The sequence below is a fragment of the Homo sapiens genome, chromosome 11 (assembly GCF_000001405.40).
Source record: "Homo sapiens chromosome 11, GRCh38.p14 Primary Assembly".
NCBI classification, from domain to species: domain Eukaryota; kingdom Metazoa; phylum Chordata; class Mammalia; order Primates; family Hominidae; genus Homo; species Homo sapiens.
This window is the reverse complement of record NC_000011.10, coordinates 72379474-72396365: the sequence shown is the minus strand read 5'-3', so window position 1 is coordinate 72396365 and position 16892 is coordinate 72379474. Positions and strand designations below refer to the sequence as shown.

General features: G+C 44.4%; 1 protein-coding gene across 8 annotated transcripts in view, besides 1 other annotated feature; it reads left to right on the top strand.

The window, feature by feature from the left end:
• The window catches only part of CLPB (ClpB family mitochondrial disaggregase), a 149037-nt gene that overhangs the window by 38166 nt on the left and 93979 nt on the right, over window positions 1–16892 (top strand). For all 8 annotated transcript variants that reach the window (NM_001258393.3, XM_005274320.2, NM_001258392.3 and 5 more), the window contains one exon: window positions 15982–16085. In NM_001258393.3, the coding sequence (NP_001245322.1) occupies window positions 15982–16085 (104 nt within the window). The remainder of the gene's footprint in view (window positions 1–15981; window positions 16086–16892) is intronic.
• Window positions 4093–4142: an enhancer, noted in NCBI's record as "active region_5185". NCBI's record gives its function as "activates an Ori minimal core promoter by ATAC-STARR-seq in GM12878 lymphoblastoid cells {active_cell/tissue: GM12878}" and the evidence as "EXISTENCE:reporter gene assay evidence [ECO:0000049][PMID:35858748]".

The window sequence follows — 16892 nt, the reverse complement described above, 5'->3', positions numbered from 1 at the left end:
AGGTGAGAACTGCAAGGCAGAGCATGAAGCACATCAGAACTGTTTGAAATTCCCCACAAGAGTCTCCCTCCCTCCTTCTGCCTTTTCTCCCCGAGTGCATTTCATCAGTGTCGGAAGGACTGGTTCCCGGCACTGCCTTCCCTGCTTGGCCAGGGTCCCCGAGGAACTGAGCTAATGAGTGGATAACACGCATTTGCCAAGGCCTTCCTGGATGTGGTACCCGGGCTTTGTTAATTTTAAAGTGCTGCCATCCTTGGCTGAAGACCATTCAATTCCCTCTCACAGCAGTCATTTATTTTTAGCATTTGCTTATTTTCCCTCTGCCTTACTAAGGGGAGAGGGTGCATTAAACCCTTTCTTTAAAAAACCGATAGCCTAAGCCAGATTGCTGTCCTACAGAAGAGGTTTTAAAGGCCTTCCTTTGTGGACCCCAACAGCTCCATGGGTGTTCTTAGAGCGAAGAGCAGATGCTAATCTTGCAGCTAGACTACTGGCAGCCTCCCTGGGAGGCTCTGCTTCCTTCCTGGCTAGCTATACGTGGAGCAGGTAGAGTACCAGTGTACCTGTGCTTGAAAGTAGGTCCTTAGGGAACCTGACCAACCACATGGAAGTCGGTCCTGCCTTAGGGGCACAGAGCCTTTTCCGTCTTCTAACCTATTCTTGGTCTGGCTTCGTGCTGTAGAGTAGGGCTACCTTCTGCCCAAGGAGGCTGGGCTTTGTGCTGTGTGATCTCCTGACTGTAGTAATGATGATGGCAGTAGTTGATTGGGTGCTTTCTGTGTGCCAGGCCCATGTCAAGCACTTCCCATGTTGGGTCTAATCCTCAGGGCAATCTTGAAAGGAAGGGATTATTATTCCTATTTTACAGATAGGGAAAATGAAGCTCAGAGTTGTCCAAGGTTGTCCAGCTAGTAAAAGAAGGAGCCAGGATTTGAAGCTGGGTCTTTCTGAACCCCAAACCCTTGCTCTTTCCACTGGACTACACTGCCTATGGAGGGAAGGGGCCGGGAGCAAGGCCATGGGATGGACCGAAGGATGCTGGAACCAGGAGTCAAGTCGGCTCTATCAGGGTTTCTTGATGACCCATGATGTATTATATGGATTTTGAGAACTGTAAAAACAGACAAGCCACTCTCCTTGTTCTCAGAAAGCTGACACTCAGAAAAGGGATAAAAGTCCCGCTTTGGAGAATGAGGCAGAATGTGTTCAGTGCCACAGAGAAGAACACATAGAGTGCTGTGGAGGAGATGATGCTGTGTAGAGCCAGCATCATGAAAAGAGGCCCTTTCAGAGGAGTTGGGCAGGATTTGATTGGTAACATAGGGAGTAGGGGGAGAGCATTTGCAGAAGGACCATTGTGAGCATAGGCTCACAAAGGTGGAAAGCAGAGATGTGCTCGTAGAAGCAACCGGCAGGGAACCCAAGAACATGGGACCCCTGAGCAGGGTACCTTGATATAGGCTGGCTTTTGTTACAGGTGGCCACCTGCCCAGTGCAGGACAGTACCCAGTATTCCCCAGCAAGGAAGGATGGGTGAGGGTGCTGGCCAAGTGCCCAGAATGCCAGCACCGCAGCACCGTGCCCCCAGGAAAGTGTTGGGCTTGACGTTTCTCCCACCCCTACTGCTATGGCCGATTATCTCTGAGTAAGAAAGAGTCATTTCTAATCCCATTTGGAATCGTTGCTCAAGATAATCCTGTTTTGTGGTAATGATATTCCAATTCCAGCATGCACTCGTAGTTTGGCAGACACATGCCTCAACCTCAGGCAACTCAAGACGCTGCTCCCTGGAAATCAGTGCCAGCTCATTTGCCTAACGTGACAGTCTCAGGGTATACTTCCTGGGCCCAATGCTCTGTTCTGTCCTGGGGTTCTGTGTTCAGTGCTGTCTTCATGGAGAGTGGCAGTTGGGGATAGGAGAGCATCCAGTGTTCATTATGGAGAGTGGCAGTTGGGGATAGGAGAGCATCCAGTGTTCATTATGGAGAGTGGCAGTTGGGGATAGGAAAGCATCCAGTGTTCATTCAGTTCAGCTGCTTGGGGCAGGGTGTTCCATCTCTAGGAACTGTGAGATGGTCTAGTTCTATACCTCTTCTTTAAGAGACTTCTTTAAAAACAGCTGTACCATAAGCTGCTTATTTTAACAGAGCTGCCAGGCTGGTGGGCCAGGGGTCGGCAGTAGATATCATGGGTGTTTCAGGCTTTTAGTAAGATATTTGGATGTCTCTAATGACATCTATATGAGTAAAATTATGATGTAAAAATAGTATAGTCAGACTAGTAAATGTAAATGACCTGGTTCATTGTTTATGTATGAATGGACATCAGACTAGAGAGCAGGCTTGAGTGGTGAGCAATGGGGCTCTGTCCTGTTCAGTATTTTATATCACTGATTTCATTGAGGTCATTGATAAATGCCAACAGAGTTAATGAAGCTTGAGGAGGTACTAATATATTGGGTGAAAAAATAGGGGACATTAAATAAAACCTCAGTGGGCTAGAGCAATGGTTAAATCTGTGTTGATAAAAACTAACAAGGATAAGTATATGGGTCAACAATTAAAAACCAACTGTAAAACCCAACGTGCAAAACTTAGCAATACTAAAAGTAAAGTCTAGAAGCTGACTAAAAACCCAATATGTTGTCTGCTGTGCAACATCAGGCCCCAGAAGTGAATTGATTCAGCAAATATTTACTGCCCTGTATAGGCCCTATGTGTGTGGAGATGGAAATAGTCAAGGCACAGTCCCTGCTTTGGGGAGCATCCAGTCTACTTATGTATACTATGGTAGTGAAGAATAGGGGCTCTGGAGTGAAGCTGCCTGTGTTGAAGACCTTGCTGTGCCTCTTATGGTTTTTAGTTTACCCATCTGCAAAATGGGAATAATAATGGCACCTACCTCAGCATAAGGTGGTTGCAAAGATTAAAATGCACATAAAACTACTTAGTGTAGTGAATAAGTAGGTATCTGCTGCTGTTATTAATATTGTTTTTTCTTTTTGTTGTTATTTTCACCCGAGTCTAAGAGATATGCCAGCCCCATCATACTGTTCTGGATCATTTGCCTAGAGAGAGCCTAGTCTGGGTCCATACTGTAATAAGTCCTAACATCTAGGGCCTGACTACACTGGCCTTAGGTTTGGTGACCATATATTATGAACCACAAATTGAAAGACATGGAAGTGTATTTAGAACTACGCTGAGGATGTGAAATTGGGATTATCTTGGAAACCCTGTTGTGGGTGATCTTGATTCCTTGGCCATCAGCTTAACGTGCCATGCCTTCCTCGAGCCTTGCCCCTAATTATATCACCTCTGTCTGGGTTCACCACTGATTTTTACCCTTGTCTATCTCAAACAGACTCCTTCTTATCCCAGCTAGCTGCTATGACCTGCTTTGCTTTAACTGCCATCTGAAAATATCACTGTTCCTGGTACTATGCAGTAAGAGCTTAGTAACTATGGGATAAGAAGACAGACTAATGGATGGTCAGTTGGGTGAGAGCCAACGTGGTTTAGGGGAATGTACACCAAATTTAGACTCAGACAGACCTGGTTTTGAATCTTGGTTCTTGTGCTTATTTAATGTGTACATTTGGGTAACTCATATTATCTTGCCGAGCCTTAGTTTACTTATTTATAAAATAGGACTGGTACCTCATTGCAAGTTGTTATAAGGATCTGAAATAGTGAATATAAAGTGTCTAACACACTGCGGCTGCTTTATTATGATTATTGATCTTTACTTTTTGAAGTAAATAAATAAACATTATCCTCATTTGAGGAAACTGGGGCACATTTTCTATACAGGTACCTTATTTCCTACCCAATCTTTAATTCATTTCCTTAGGAATCTGGCTTTAAAAAGAAAACTGTTCTCTGTGCCCTCTCTACTCTCAGCTCATGTCCCCATGCCACAGGACTTGTAGATTTAACAAATGCTAGTGCCTTTGGTTGGGCCACCCGGCTTTCCTGACCAGCCAGAGACCAGGTTACTGAATGAGCCACAACTCATTTGACTTTCCAGCAGACCTCCTGAACTGTGACCTTTTCACTTCCTCCCCTCATCGAGGTGTGCACTGGGTTGAGAAGAGGTCACTCTTTGTCTTCTCCTTGGGACCCGTGACACTCATCACAGTGATCCTATGCTTCAGATGTGGGGGGTGGGGAGGAGGAGGAGTTAGAGGAGCTTCTTCTGAAGCTCAACATTGTGTAGGGATGACCTGGAGCTGGGATCACTGCCCTTCTTGCTTCACCAACTCCAGCTGCTCGCCAGCCGTCTTTGACACGCGCCTGGCCCAACACAAGCCTGAGCTCACACCATAGGTTTTCTCGCTCTTCCCTAAACAATGTGAGCACCCCAACCCCCTCTGGCCACTGAAAGCAGAAAGCCTAAACACTGATTGAAGTAACTGCCCTCCCATTTATTGTGACTCCCCACCACCCTGAAAGCAAGAGCTCATCAAGGTCAGTGTGAGCCAACCTTCCTACATGTGCTTCCACTTTTAATCTAATTACAGCCTGATCAGCAAATTAATTTGGCTGTGGCTCCAAAGGGAGTTCCATGAATCTCAGGAGCTGCCACTTAGTGACCACCCTCCTGTTCATTTCCTGAGCTTTGTCTGGGAACTTTCTGTAGCCCAGGAAGGAGCTACTGTTCAGGAGAGGAACATATACGTTTTCCACAGCTAAACCACCCGCAGCCTAGTTGGGACCTTCAGGTGGGAGAAGGCTGAGCAGGGCAGAGACAGCTGCTGTCCACCTTTCTCTCCCATTTTCCATCAAATAAATTAATGATTTCATTTATTCATCTTTCATTTATTTATTCATGCACTCATTCAGAAAACATCTGTGATCCAGGCACTGGGCAGGGAGCTGGGAAATAAGGTTGAGACATGGCCCTTGCCCCATAGTCTAGTGGGAAAGGCAAATAAAAGTAAGCAGGCCATCATGATACAATATGAGGGTCACCTACCATGGGAGTGAGTACTGGGTGCTGTGCAGACAAAGAGAAAGAGCATGGACTCATACTGGGAATCAGAGAAGGCACAGTTGAGTTGGTGATGGTGTCACCAAGGAGCCCTGAAGGTGAATGAACACCAACCAGTTGAAGGAGGGGACAGCAGGTGGCATCTTTGATGGCCCTTGGTGTACTGCAGGGAGTTCATTGTTTTCAGTGGGTCTTTAATATTTCAGCCCCCAAGACTACTAGATCATATAGGAATTAGAAGTTTTATAATTGAGAGACTCCCTGAAAGGGATTAACTTTTGGAACAAATGGTCAAGTTCAATTAATATGTAAATAAAAGAGATAGGACTTCAACACTTTTTGAAAAAAATCATCCATCTATGTTGTTGCATGTATATCCAGCCTGTTGCTTCTAACTACTGCATCGTGTTTCATAGTGTGTGACTACCACATTTACCTTATCTGTCCCCCCAGTGGTGGACACTTGATGGCCCGCAACTCCCCACTGCCACAGAATGCTGTGATGAACCATTTCTTGTGTTGCCCTTTATGGACCTGCATAAGAATTTTTCTAAGAATTGTATACTCAGGAGCAGAAGTGCTTGGTCATAGGGTAAGGTGCTTTAATGAAGTCCTGCAAGATTGGCTTCCAGAATGGCTGCACCAGTCTATACCCTAACAGTGCATGAAGTGTCCCAGATCCTCACATCTTCACCAACACTTGCCATTTTTCAGCTTTCTAACATTTGTGAATATGTTGAATTTACAGTGATATCTCATTTTAATTTGCATTTCTGTAATAACAAATGAACTTGAAGATTTTCTTTATATACCTAGTAATAATCCTTTTTTGGTTTCCTCCTCTAGGAATTGGCTGTTGATATCTTTGCCTCATTTTTGTTGGGCCTTCTTTTTCTTTTTTCTTTTCTTTTTTTTTTTTTCTATTTCGTTTTTTTTTTGAGACAGTCTCACTCTGTTGCCCAGGCTGGAGTGCAGTGGTGTGATCTTGGCTCACTGCAACCTCTGCCTCCTGGGTTGAAGTGATTCTTCTGCCTCAGCCTCCCGATTAGTTGGGATTACAGGTACCTGCCATCACACCTGGCTAATTTTTGTATTTTTAGTAGAGATGGGGTTTTACCATGTTGGCCAGGGTGGTCTCCAACTCCTGGCCTCAAGTGATCTGCTCGCCTCAGCCTCCCGGAGTGCTGGGATTATAGGCATGAGCCACTGCGCCTGGCATGTTGGGCCTTCTGATCCTAGCATTTCTATCAAAGCCTGATCTGGGGCAAAGTGCTCCTACAGACTATTAACTACCTGAAAGTCAGTATTGGGAAGTGAAAGGCAATATAACATACTTGTGCCATAGACATTCTCTGCTTCCCCAAATTAGTAAGGGTAATAGGGTATCTGGAGATTATCCCTAGCCTTTGAGGGTTGTACTACCATGAGAGGCCAAATCTTGAGCTGGTTGAGAGAATGGCTGATAATCTTTCTTTTTTTCCTGCCCAGGCTAGAGTGCAGTGGCACAACCACAGCTCACTGCAGCCTCGACCTCCTGAGCTCAAGCGATCCTCCCGAGTAGCTGGAACTACAGGCATGTGCCACCACACCTGGCTAATTTTTAATTTTTTTTAAGTGACAGGATCTCACTATGTTGCCCAGGCTGGTCTTGAACTCCTGGGCTCAAATGATCCTCCTTCCTCAGTCTCCCAGAGTGCTGGAATTATAGGTATGAGCCACCATGCCAGCCAGAGAATCGCTGATATTCTTAAGCCTTTGCCCAGTGAGTGCCTGTGGAGTAATTCCTTTGAGTGGAGATGTGTCCTGATATAGAAAAACATAATTGAGTGGCCTGTTTTACTCTGCCTCCTTTAATCCAACTGTTAAGACCGTGAAGACCTAGCCTTATACCACAGCCCATGTGGTACCAGCTACTCAAATTTAAGACAGTAATAGTGAAACCCACACCTACAACATGGCAGCCAGTATGCCAGCATCAGAACAAAGGAGAAGTTGCTACTGTCCTATTGTCCTTTAATGGATCAGCTCCAGTAGCAGTGCCTACCTTCCTCTGTGCCATCAGATTTGGTTCTTATTGCTCACTCTGTGTTCTGTATATCAGCCAGGTGGGCTGACTCACCATCATCTCCCCATGTAAGTCACCTTCTCCCAAATACTGTTTTGAGTTGGGGATTTCTTTCTGCTTCAGCAGAAAATAAAAGAGGCAGAAATAATTCCATTTCCATTGTCTCCTTACTGCTGCTCCTGGATGCTGCTGCTTTTGCCTTGCCTTGACTTCTGGTACCAGTGTAATCCTTGGTTTCTGGCTACTCACTTGGTTTATAATCTGTTCTACCTCACCCTCTAGTTCTTGACCTCTGACCTCATGTACACCTTTGCTGCCTGGTGTGTGGCCCTTAATTTTATTTTGATTGTGAACTTCTTGGCACTCCCTGGTGTTGGCCTACTGCTGAGCCCGTTTTCACCATCCTTGCCTTAGATTTCTCTAACCTGGCTAGCCTTCTACCGTGTTTCTGCCCTGCTATATGCTATATGCTATAGTTTCAGTGAGGTTCTTTTGGTGATCAAAGCTAGTGGTGAATCATACTCTTGTAGCCCTCTAGCCCGATCTGGGCTGGCTTCTCCAAGAAGGGCCTGACCCGTTTGGAGCTCTTGGTTAGATACTTTATAAGTACATGAAGGCTGTTGAACAAAAAACCTACTGGCCATATGTCAAGGTGTTTGACGCCACTGTTGGTTACTGAGCAGCCATGGTTTCTTTAGCCCTGTCTATACCCCACAGTGGTGCTGCTGCCTTTTGAGTATTATTAAAAGTGAAGGGAGGGCCGGGTATGGTGGTTCACACCTGTAATCCTAGCACTTTGGGAGGCTGAAGCGGGCGGATCACGAGGTCAGGAGATCGAGACCATCCTGGCTAACACGGTGAAACCCCGGCTGTACTAAAAATGCAAAAAAATTAGCCGGGCATGGTGGCAGGTGCCTGTAGTCCCAGCTACTCAGGAGGCTGAGGCAGGAGAATGGTGTGAACCCGGGAGGCGGAGCTGGCAGTGAGCCGAGATTGCGCCAGTGCACTCCAGCCTGGGCGACAAAGCGAGATTCTGTCTCAAAAAAAAAAAAAAAAAAGGGGAAGGGAATCTTCTCTGAGGTTTCAGGATGAGTCACTGTCTTGGATGCTTACCCTCTTTGGCCTCCAAGTTTGTGAAGTGAATTGCTTATTCCCTTTGATTGGGTTAGCAGCCCCAGGGTCGATCCTAGTCACTCTCTTCTCCCCACCCTGCTAGACCACTGTCTGCCCTCTGGGACCAAGGGCAACATACGTGGTTGCTTGGACACGTCCTACAGCCTGCAAATTGGACAGATGAAATCAATACTCATGAACCTGGAGAGGCCCAGGTAGCACAGTTAGTGACGCTAGCTGCCTGGAGGGACAGCCTGCCATGGGAGGGGGTGTGATTGAATGGTGATTGGACACAGCAGCTGAGGATTAACCAAATTACGTCCCTTTGAGTTTAGATCGACACTTGGATTTTAACACACATCAACTTGTGCAGAATATAGAAGAGCTGCCTTCTTAACGCAGGACTATTCCAGCATGAGTGCTAGGGTGGTCAGGTATAGATCTGGTGCCCATCACAGCCCAGATTCATGTGATTATTGCTGAGATTATACAAACAGAGGGTAAAGAGCTTAGATTTGTGGAGCTTTTTTTTTTTTAATGTGTCAGGCACTATGGAGTTTTACGTACTTATAACCTGCACGGCAGCCATCATTATCTCCATTATTCTGGTAAGGAAATGAAGGCCCAGAGGTGTAGTCACTGGTCCAAGAACACACAATCAGTAAATGATAGAGCTTTGATTTGAACACAGGTCTCTCTGTGCTTGTTATAAAATGCCATGCTGTCTTCCCAATTTAGATGTCTTAATTGGTATGTCTCCTGACTTTCCTTAGTCCAGCCACAGGGTCAGGTACATAGTAATAATAACTAACATTCATTGAGCAGTTGTTATGTGTCAAGACACTGTTCTAAGCTACTTTATGTGTATTAACACAACCAGATGAGCTACTCTTATTATCCTAATAATTATTATGAGGCCACAAAATGGTGGTTTTCTAATTTCATCCTTCCTTCTACAATTATTAGTTTTCATTCTATAGTAAGACAGAACTTTCCCTTCTCTCCATTTACTTATTAATTTTCAGTGTGGACTTCAATGGAGAATCTTATTTTACTCAGTGGGTTATAATTATATATAATTAATGGGTTATAATACATTACTGTCATTATTCATTCTGATGCTCTGATCATCCCAGATTTTACAGCCAGTTTTCTTAATTTCTGTGCCATACTACTTCTCTATCAGACATTGTTTTGCAGTGCTTTCAGTTAGTTTGCCTATCTGTATCTGCCTTTTTGTACCCTCTTAGCTTTAAACGTTCTGGGAAATAGGAAGACTGACTAATGCCAATCTTAATCCAAATTGTGTATAAACTGAGAGTAAATAGTCTCCAAATGAGAACCCAACAGACTTCTATGAATTAAACATATGAGTTTTAGACATAGATTTTAGCTGCTTAGAGACCCTTCTCATTTCTCTTTGAAATCTTAATTCATATTCTGGATAAATTACCTTTGAAGGTAATTTTAAAAGTTATTTTAGGTAAGGTGAGTAGGCACAGAAGACTCACTTAACTGATTTAGGTCACATATAGAAGAACCACTGCTATGTAGGAGATGGAATCTGGTTTTGGGCTTACCTGTAAGGACTGTATCTTTGTGTGCATGTAAGTTAGTGAAATTCCTTCATTCGTTCAGCAAGTAATTGAATCAGATACTGTGCCTGTTGAAGGTAATGAAATTCAAACCAAATGGTACGTGGGAAACCATCAACATTACTGGTTACAAATACTAAAAAACTATCAAGGAAGAGAAAACAAGCCATAGTTTGGCTTTTTAATAGTTACGATAAGTAATTTGTTTAAAATGCTTACCACTTCTGCTTGCAGAAGCATTAGCAGTTTTGAAGGTTAGTAAGCAAAAGATAGACACCCTAAGAGAAAGATGGGCAAAGGACCTTAATAAGGGATTTGTGAAGAAGAAGCACAACTGACTATTAAACATATTTTAAAAAAATTCATCCTGACTAGTAATCAAAAAATGCAAATTGAAAGAGCAGTGTGATTCTATTTTCTGTTTTCCAGATTGACATATTCTGGAAAAGAAGAAAAAAACTACTCTATTTTGGTAAAGGAAGGCACAGCAGTTACTCTCATACAGCATACTTTGCTAGTGAAAATAAAAATTAGCACAATCTTTTTGCAAAGCAACTTAGTAATATTTATAAAACTCTTAAAATGCTTATACTTTTTGATGTAAATTTTATCTCATATGAATTTATCCAAAGGAAATAATCAGAAATATGTTACTAAAATATTTAAAACAATCTATTGTTTTATAGTAGGGATTGGTTAAATCAAGCATGGAATAGTCTTATAGTGGAATACTGTGTAGCCATTTAAAACAATGTGGGTTTTTTTATTGTTGTTTGTTTGAGACGGCGTCTTGCTGTGTCGCCCAGGCTTGATGCAGTGGCGCGATCTCGGCTCACTGCATCCTCCGCCTCCCGGATTCAAGCGATTCTCCTGCCTCAGCCTCCCAAGTAGCTGGGATTACAGACATACACCACCACGCCCAGATAATTTTTGTATTTTTAGTAGAGACAGGGTTTCACCATGTTGGCCAGGCTGGTCTCGAACTCCTGACCTCAGGTGATCCAGCTATCTTGGCCTCCCAAAGTGCTGAGATTATAGGCATGAGCCACTGTGCCCAGCCAGTAAAACAATGTAATAGACATATAATACATGGAAAGATGTATGTGCATTCAGAGAGAAAGTTTATATATGATGCCATTTTTATAAATAAAAGTATGTATATATCCATTGAAGAAACTGGAAAGATGTTATATGTTCTAAGACGTTTTCTTCTTTTGGTTATCTATATTTTCTGGTTTTTTATAGTGAACATGAGCCCTTTTTTATTAGAAGGAAAAAATGTATTAGTGGGAATATTACATAAATAGCAGGAAGAAGGGAAGCTAACATGGAGTCCCTGCCTCTGGTCATACTCCCTCTTCTTATACAGCCACTGGAGTGATTTTTGTAATTGCAAAGGTTTGGAAGGAAACTTGCCAATCTATAAACAGTAGTTACTCTTGGAATTTGGACTAAGGAGATGCATGTAAGGGGAGACCTTTAATGTTCCCATGTGCTTGAGAAGAATGTGTGTTGTACTGCTGTTGGATGGAATGTTCTGTATAGGTCTGTTATATCCATTTAGTCTAAAGTGTAGCTTAAGTCAGACATTTCCTTATTGGTTTTCTTTCTGGATGACCTGTCCATTGCTGAAAGTAGGATATTGAAGTCCCTACTGTTTCTGTAGTATAGTCTATCTTTCCCTTCCCATTGATTAATAGTTGCTTTATATATCTAGGTGCTGTGATGTTAGGTGCATATATATTTACAATTGTTATAGTGTCTTGATTAATTGACCCCTTTATTATTATATAATGACCTTCTTTGTCTCTTTTTACAGTTTGGACTTAAAGTCTATTTTATTCCATATGAATATCAGTACTTCTGCTCTCTTTTGGTTCCCATTTGCATGCCATATCTTTTTCCATTCCTTCGTATTTAGTCTATGTGTGTCCTTATAGGTAAAGTGAGTCTCTTGTAGGTAACATACAGTAGGGTCTTACTCTTTTTAATCCATTTACATTCAAGGCAATTATTGATTGGTGAGGACTAACTTCTGACGTTTTGTTGTTTTCTGGTTGTTTTGTAGATCCATTATTCCTCTCTTCCTCTCTTGCCGTCTTCCTTTGTGATTAGGTGGTTTTCTTTAGTAGTATACTTATATTCCTTACTTTTTACCTTTTATGAATCTACTTTAGGTTTTACTTTGTGGTTTCTTTACACTTTTATTCCATACCCGCCACAAACATATTCTGTATTTTTAGTGTCACAATTTACATATTTTTGTATTATATATCCCTTAACAAATGATTGTAGCTAATATTATTTTTAGCAGTTTTGTATTTTGACCTTAATACTAAAGATAAAAGTGATTTACTTACCACCATTTACAGTATCATAGTATTCTGAATTTAACTATGTGCTTACCATTACCAGTGAGGTTTTTGGGGTGTTTTGTTTGTTTGTTTTGAGATAGGGTCTCATTCTGTCACCCAGGCTGTAGTGCAATGGTTGATCTCAGCTCACTACAATCTCTGCCCCGCAAGCTCAAGTGATTTTCCTACCTCAGCCTCCTGAGTATATGAGACTACTGGCATGTGACACCACGCCTGGCTAATGTTTGTATTTGTTTGTCTGTCTGTTTTTGGTAGAGATGGGGTTTCAGCATGTTTCTCAGGCTTCCAGTGAGTTTTATACTTTCTTGTTTTTGTGTTGCTAATTAGCATCCTTTTCTTTCAACATGAAGCACTCTCCTTAGCATTTCATATAAATTTATTACCGTCAGACCTGTCTAAGAAATATAAGACAGGTCTGGTGGTGATAAACTCCCTCAGCTTTTATTTCTCTGGGAAAGTCTTTATCTTTCCTTGATTTCTGAAGAAGAGTTTTGCTGGATATAGTCTTCTTAGTTGGCAGGGTTTTTTTTTCATTCAGCATTTTGAATCTATCATCCCATTCTCTCCTGGCCTATAAGGTTTATAATGTGAAATCCACTGTTAGCCTTATTGGAAGTCCCTTATATGTTACTTGCTTTTTTTCTCTCACTGCTTTCAGAATCCTTCTTTATCTTTAATTTTTTTTTTTTTTTTTTGAGACAGAGTCTTGCTCTGTCGCCCAGGCTGGAATGCAGTGGTGCGATCTTGGCTCACTGCAAGCTCTGCCTCCCGGGTTCACGCCATTCTCCTGCCTCAGCCTTCCGAGTAGCTGGGACTACAGGCGCCCGCCACCACGCCTGGCTAATTTTTTTATTTTTTATTTTTTAGTAGAGACGGGGTTTCACCGTGTTAGCCAGGATGGTCTCGATCTCCTGACCTCATGATCCGCCCCCCTCAGCCTCCCAAAGTGCTGGGATTACAGGTGCGAGCCACCGCACCCAGCCTGTCTTTTAATTTTTGATAGTTTGATTATAATATGTCTTGGTGTAGTGTTATTTGGACTGAATCTTATTGGAAACCATTGGCCTTCCTATTTTCAAATAACTGATTTTTGAGTTCACATATTCTGTCTTCTGCTTGATCAGTTCTGCTGTTGATGCTCTGTGTTGCAGTTTCATTGGATTCATTGTATTTTTCAGCTCCAGGATTTCTTTTGATGTTTTTTAAAAAAATAATTTCAATCTCTTAAATTTGTTTGGGATATTTATTGTTTTCCTTATTTTGTTAAATTGTTTCTCTATATTTTCTTAATGTTTGCTAAACTTTCTTAAAACAATTATTTTTAATTATTTGTGAGGCAGGTCATGAATATCCATTTCTTTAGGGTTGGTTACTGATCCTTTGTTTTGTTCTTTGGGTGGGATCAAGTTTCCCTGATTGTTCTTGATTCTTCTGGCCATGCTTTGGTGTCTGAGCATGTGAAAAAGTAGGAACTTATCCAGTCTTTGCAGATTGGCTTTGCCTGAGAAAGCCCTTCACCATTCAGCCTGTCCAGAGATTCTGGGCAGGCCATCTTGTGTGGTTCATGAATGATCTTGGTGCTGAAGTCCTTAGGCAGGCTGGCCTGGTACCTGGGTCAGCAGGTGAGTGGGCCTGGTGCCTGGGTTCATAGGGTTAAGCTTGGAGCCTGGGCCCACTGGAGTGGACCTATTGATTGGGACCACAGGGGTGGGCTGAGAGCCTATATCTGCGGGAGCCAGCCTGAAGCCTAAGTGCACAGGGACTGACCCTGTGATGGCATGGGCCTTGAGCCTGAATCTGCAGGGAATGGTTAGTCATTGGGATTGACTTGGCGCCTGCATCCAGGTGGACGGGCCTGGAGCCTAAGTCCACAGGGGTTGGTCTGGTACTGGGGCAGACCTGGAGCCTGAGTTTATGGGGGTTGGGCCCGGGCCCTGGGTCCACAAGGGCTGGCCTGGAACGTGGGTATACAGGGATGGTCCTGGAGTCTCATCCCATGGGGGCCAGGCTGTTACTGGCATCTGTTGGAGTGGGTCTGGACCTTGAGTCTGCTGGAGCAGGCCTAGACTTTGGGTTCACTGAAGTCTGTGGCATGGGGACTGGCCTGGAGCCTGGGCTGGCCTGTTCCTGGGCAGGCACGGAGCCTGGGTCTGTGAGTGATGGTCAAGAGCCTGGATGTGCAGATGCTGCCCCAGAGGGTAGGTCTGTGAGGGCTAGCCTGGGTACTAGGGCAATGAGGGCCAGCCTGGGACCTGGGTCCATGAGGGCTATCCTGGAGTCTGGATTTGTGGGAGCCAGCTCAGTACTGGGTCTACTGGGATGGGCCTGGGGGTTGCTAGAGCAGGCCTGGAGTGTGGGGCCGCAGGGACTGGTGTGAAACTGAGCAGGCCTAGAGCCTGTGTCCACAGGTGCTGGCCCAGTGCCTAAGGCCAGGGGTACTGACCTGGTGCTAGGGCAGGCCTAAAGCTCTGAGCTGTGTGGACCAACTTGGCTGTGGGCTGGGCTGGAGCCTGGGGTGGACCTGGAGGCTGGGTCTGCTGGTGTAGGCCTGATAACTAAGGCTGTCAGGCTGACCCAGTGCTAGGGCAGACCTGAAGCCTGGATTCATGCCCCAGCCGGTTCTGGGGGGAGTCTAGAGCCCTGGGCCACCAAGGCTGCCCTGGCGCTAGGATGGGCCTGGAGATTGAATCTGCAAGGTGGGCCTGAAGCCTGAGTCTGTAGGGGCTGGGCTCATGTTAAGGTGGGCCCAGAGTCCATGACTGCTGGGGCTGGCCTGGCACTAGGGCCAGAGTCGGGCTGCTAAGGTCAGTCTGGCTAGGAAGCAGATCTGGAGCCTGGGGCTATGGGGTATGGCCTGGCACCAGGGCAGGCCTAGAGGCTTAGTCTGAGGGTATCAGCCGGGAGTTTGGGAGCCTTCCAGGCACTGAGTTTTACTGGAGTGGGCCTGGTTTCAGGGTCCAAGGCAAAGTCCAGCCCTCACTTCCCTCTCCTTCCCCCATGAGTGTATGTCTCTCCATGTGTACCGCCTGGAGTTCGGGGAGGGGTGATATGGGTAAGGGGAGACTGTCTTCCTACCCTCTGTAGGTAATCTTTTCTTTACCTCTGTGCTACGCCCAGGTGCTATAATCTCTCATTTGGTTTACTTAGCTCTTGTGAAGGTATTTTTGCATGTGGATAATTGTTCAAATTGATGTTTCTGCTGGGGAGCAAGTGCTGGAGAGTCCTGTTCTGCCATCTTGCTGATGCCGTAAGGGCTTTCTTGATCCTGTTTCTTGGTCTGCTGCACGTTTCTCCTGTCGTAACCTTTATCACACTTTGAGCTGTAGCTTTATACTTAATTATTGTTTTTCTCAGCAGACTGGCCCTAGCTTCTTGAGGTCACAGACCTCAGCACCTAAAATAGGGACTAGAACATGGTAGGCATTTGATAAGTAATTGTTGGATAAACAGTTTGTATTTTATAATTGTGGAAACTGGGCCTTAGAAAGGTGTTAAGTAACTTGTCCCAAGCTTCTCAGCTGATAAGTTTCAGAGGCTGCTGCCTTTTTTTTTAAAAATGAAGTTTCACTATGTTGCCCAGACTGGTCTTGAACTCCCGGACTCAAGTAATTCTCCCAAAGTGCTGGGATTACAGTCATTAGTCACTGCACCCGGCTAAGATCTCCTGTCCCTGTCTTTCCTATCCTTGTCTTTTACACTCCCAAAGTTCATGGTTTTTTTCCCACCGTATCACTCACATGAGCAGAGACAGCTCCAGTCCCCAAACATGCTTCCGGATCTGGGTCTGTACCTCCTGGGCCTTTCTTGCTTTTGACACTTCTGTCTTTGTGATTTCTTCTAGTGTGGTACAGGTCCTGCTTGCTGCTGGGGCTGATCCAAACCTTGGAGATGATTTCAGCAGTGTTTACAAGACTGCCAAGGAACAGGGAATCCATTCTTTGGAAGGTAAGTGTGGGCTGTCCTGCTTCTCTGAGAGCTCTCCTCTTGTGGCTTTCATGCAGCCTTGCTCTGTGGTGTCAGCTCTACCAGCAACTCAGAGTGACAGCCTGCATGTTCTTTACCTCTGTGGACTCATGGAGACCCCAAAGGGCTTGGAACAGCTGCCTTTCACAGTCCCCTGGCTCTAACTTTATGTCACTTCAAAAGAAGTCTTGGGGAAAGAAATAGAGGCCTGATTTCATGACCTAATTGCGGGTAGGAAGTACATTTCAACTGGTGTTTTCCTGAAAGTGCTTCAGCCTGGAGAGCCGCAGATGAGTGGACAACGGAGCAGATTTCAGTAAAATAATTAAGGCAACTGCATGGAATGTGGATTTGTTCGTCTCCTGTTTCCTGCAGACTTACCTTGCCCCATTCCTGCCCCAGAACTAGACAACAGCCTCACTGGATTCCTCAGCCTCAGAAGTCCCTAAATACTATTACTCTGAATACTGCTTTTCCCCCTCCTAAATGTAAATTGCAGTCCTGTCTCTGGGACTGTCCCCTCAACTTACTCTATGATCCAGGACAAACAGTGGACCTTCTCTGTGTTTTGATGTCTATCCTCATAAAATGAGGTCATCATCAATGCCTCCTCTGGGATGTCTGGGATGTTGTGTTGGTGGTGGTTTGAACTTCAGAATGAAGAGGCTCTGGGATGAGTCTTGGGGATTGAATGTCCAAGGCAGGTGTTTGGGTTTGCACTAGGGCTCGATCATGTGTCTGTTGGGGGGTGCCTCAGCAAGTCAGTCTATGTTGTGTCTGGTGAGTACT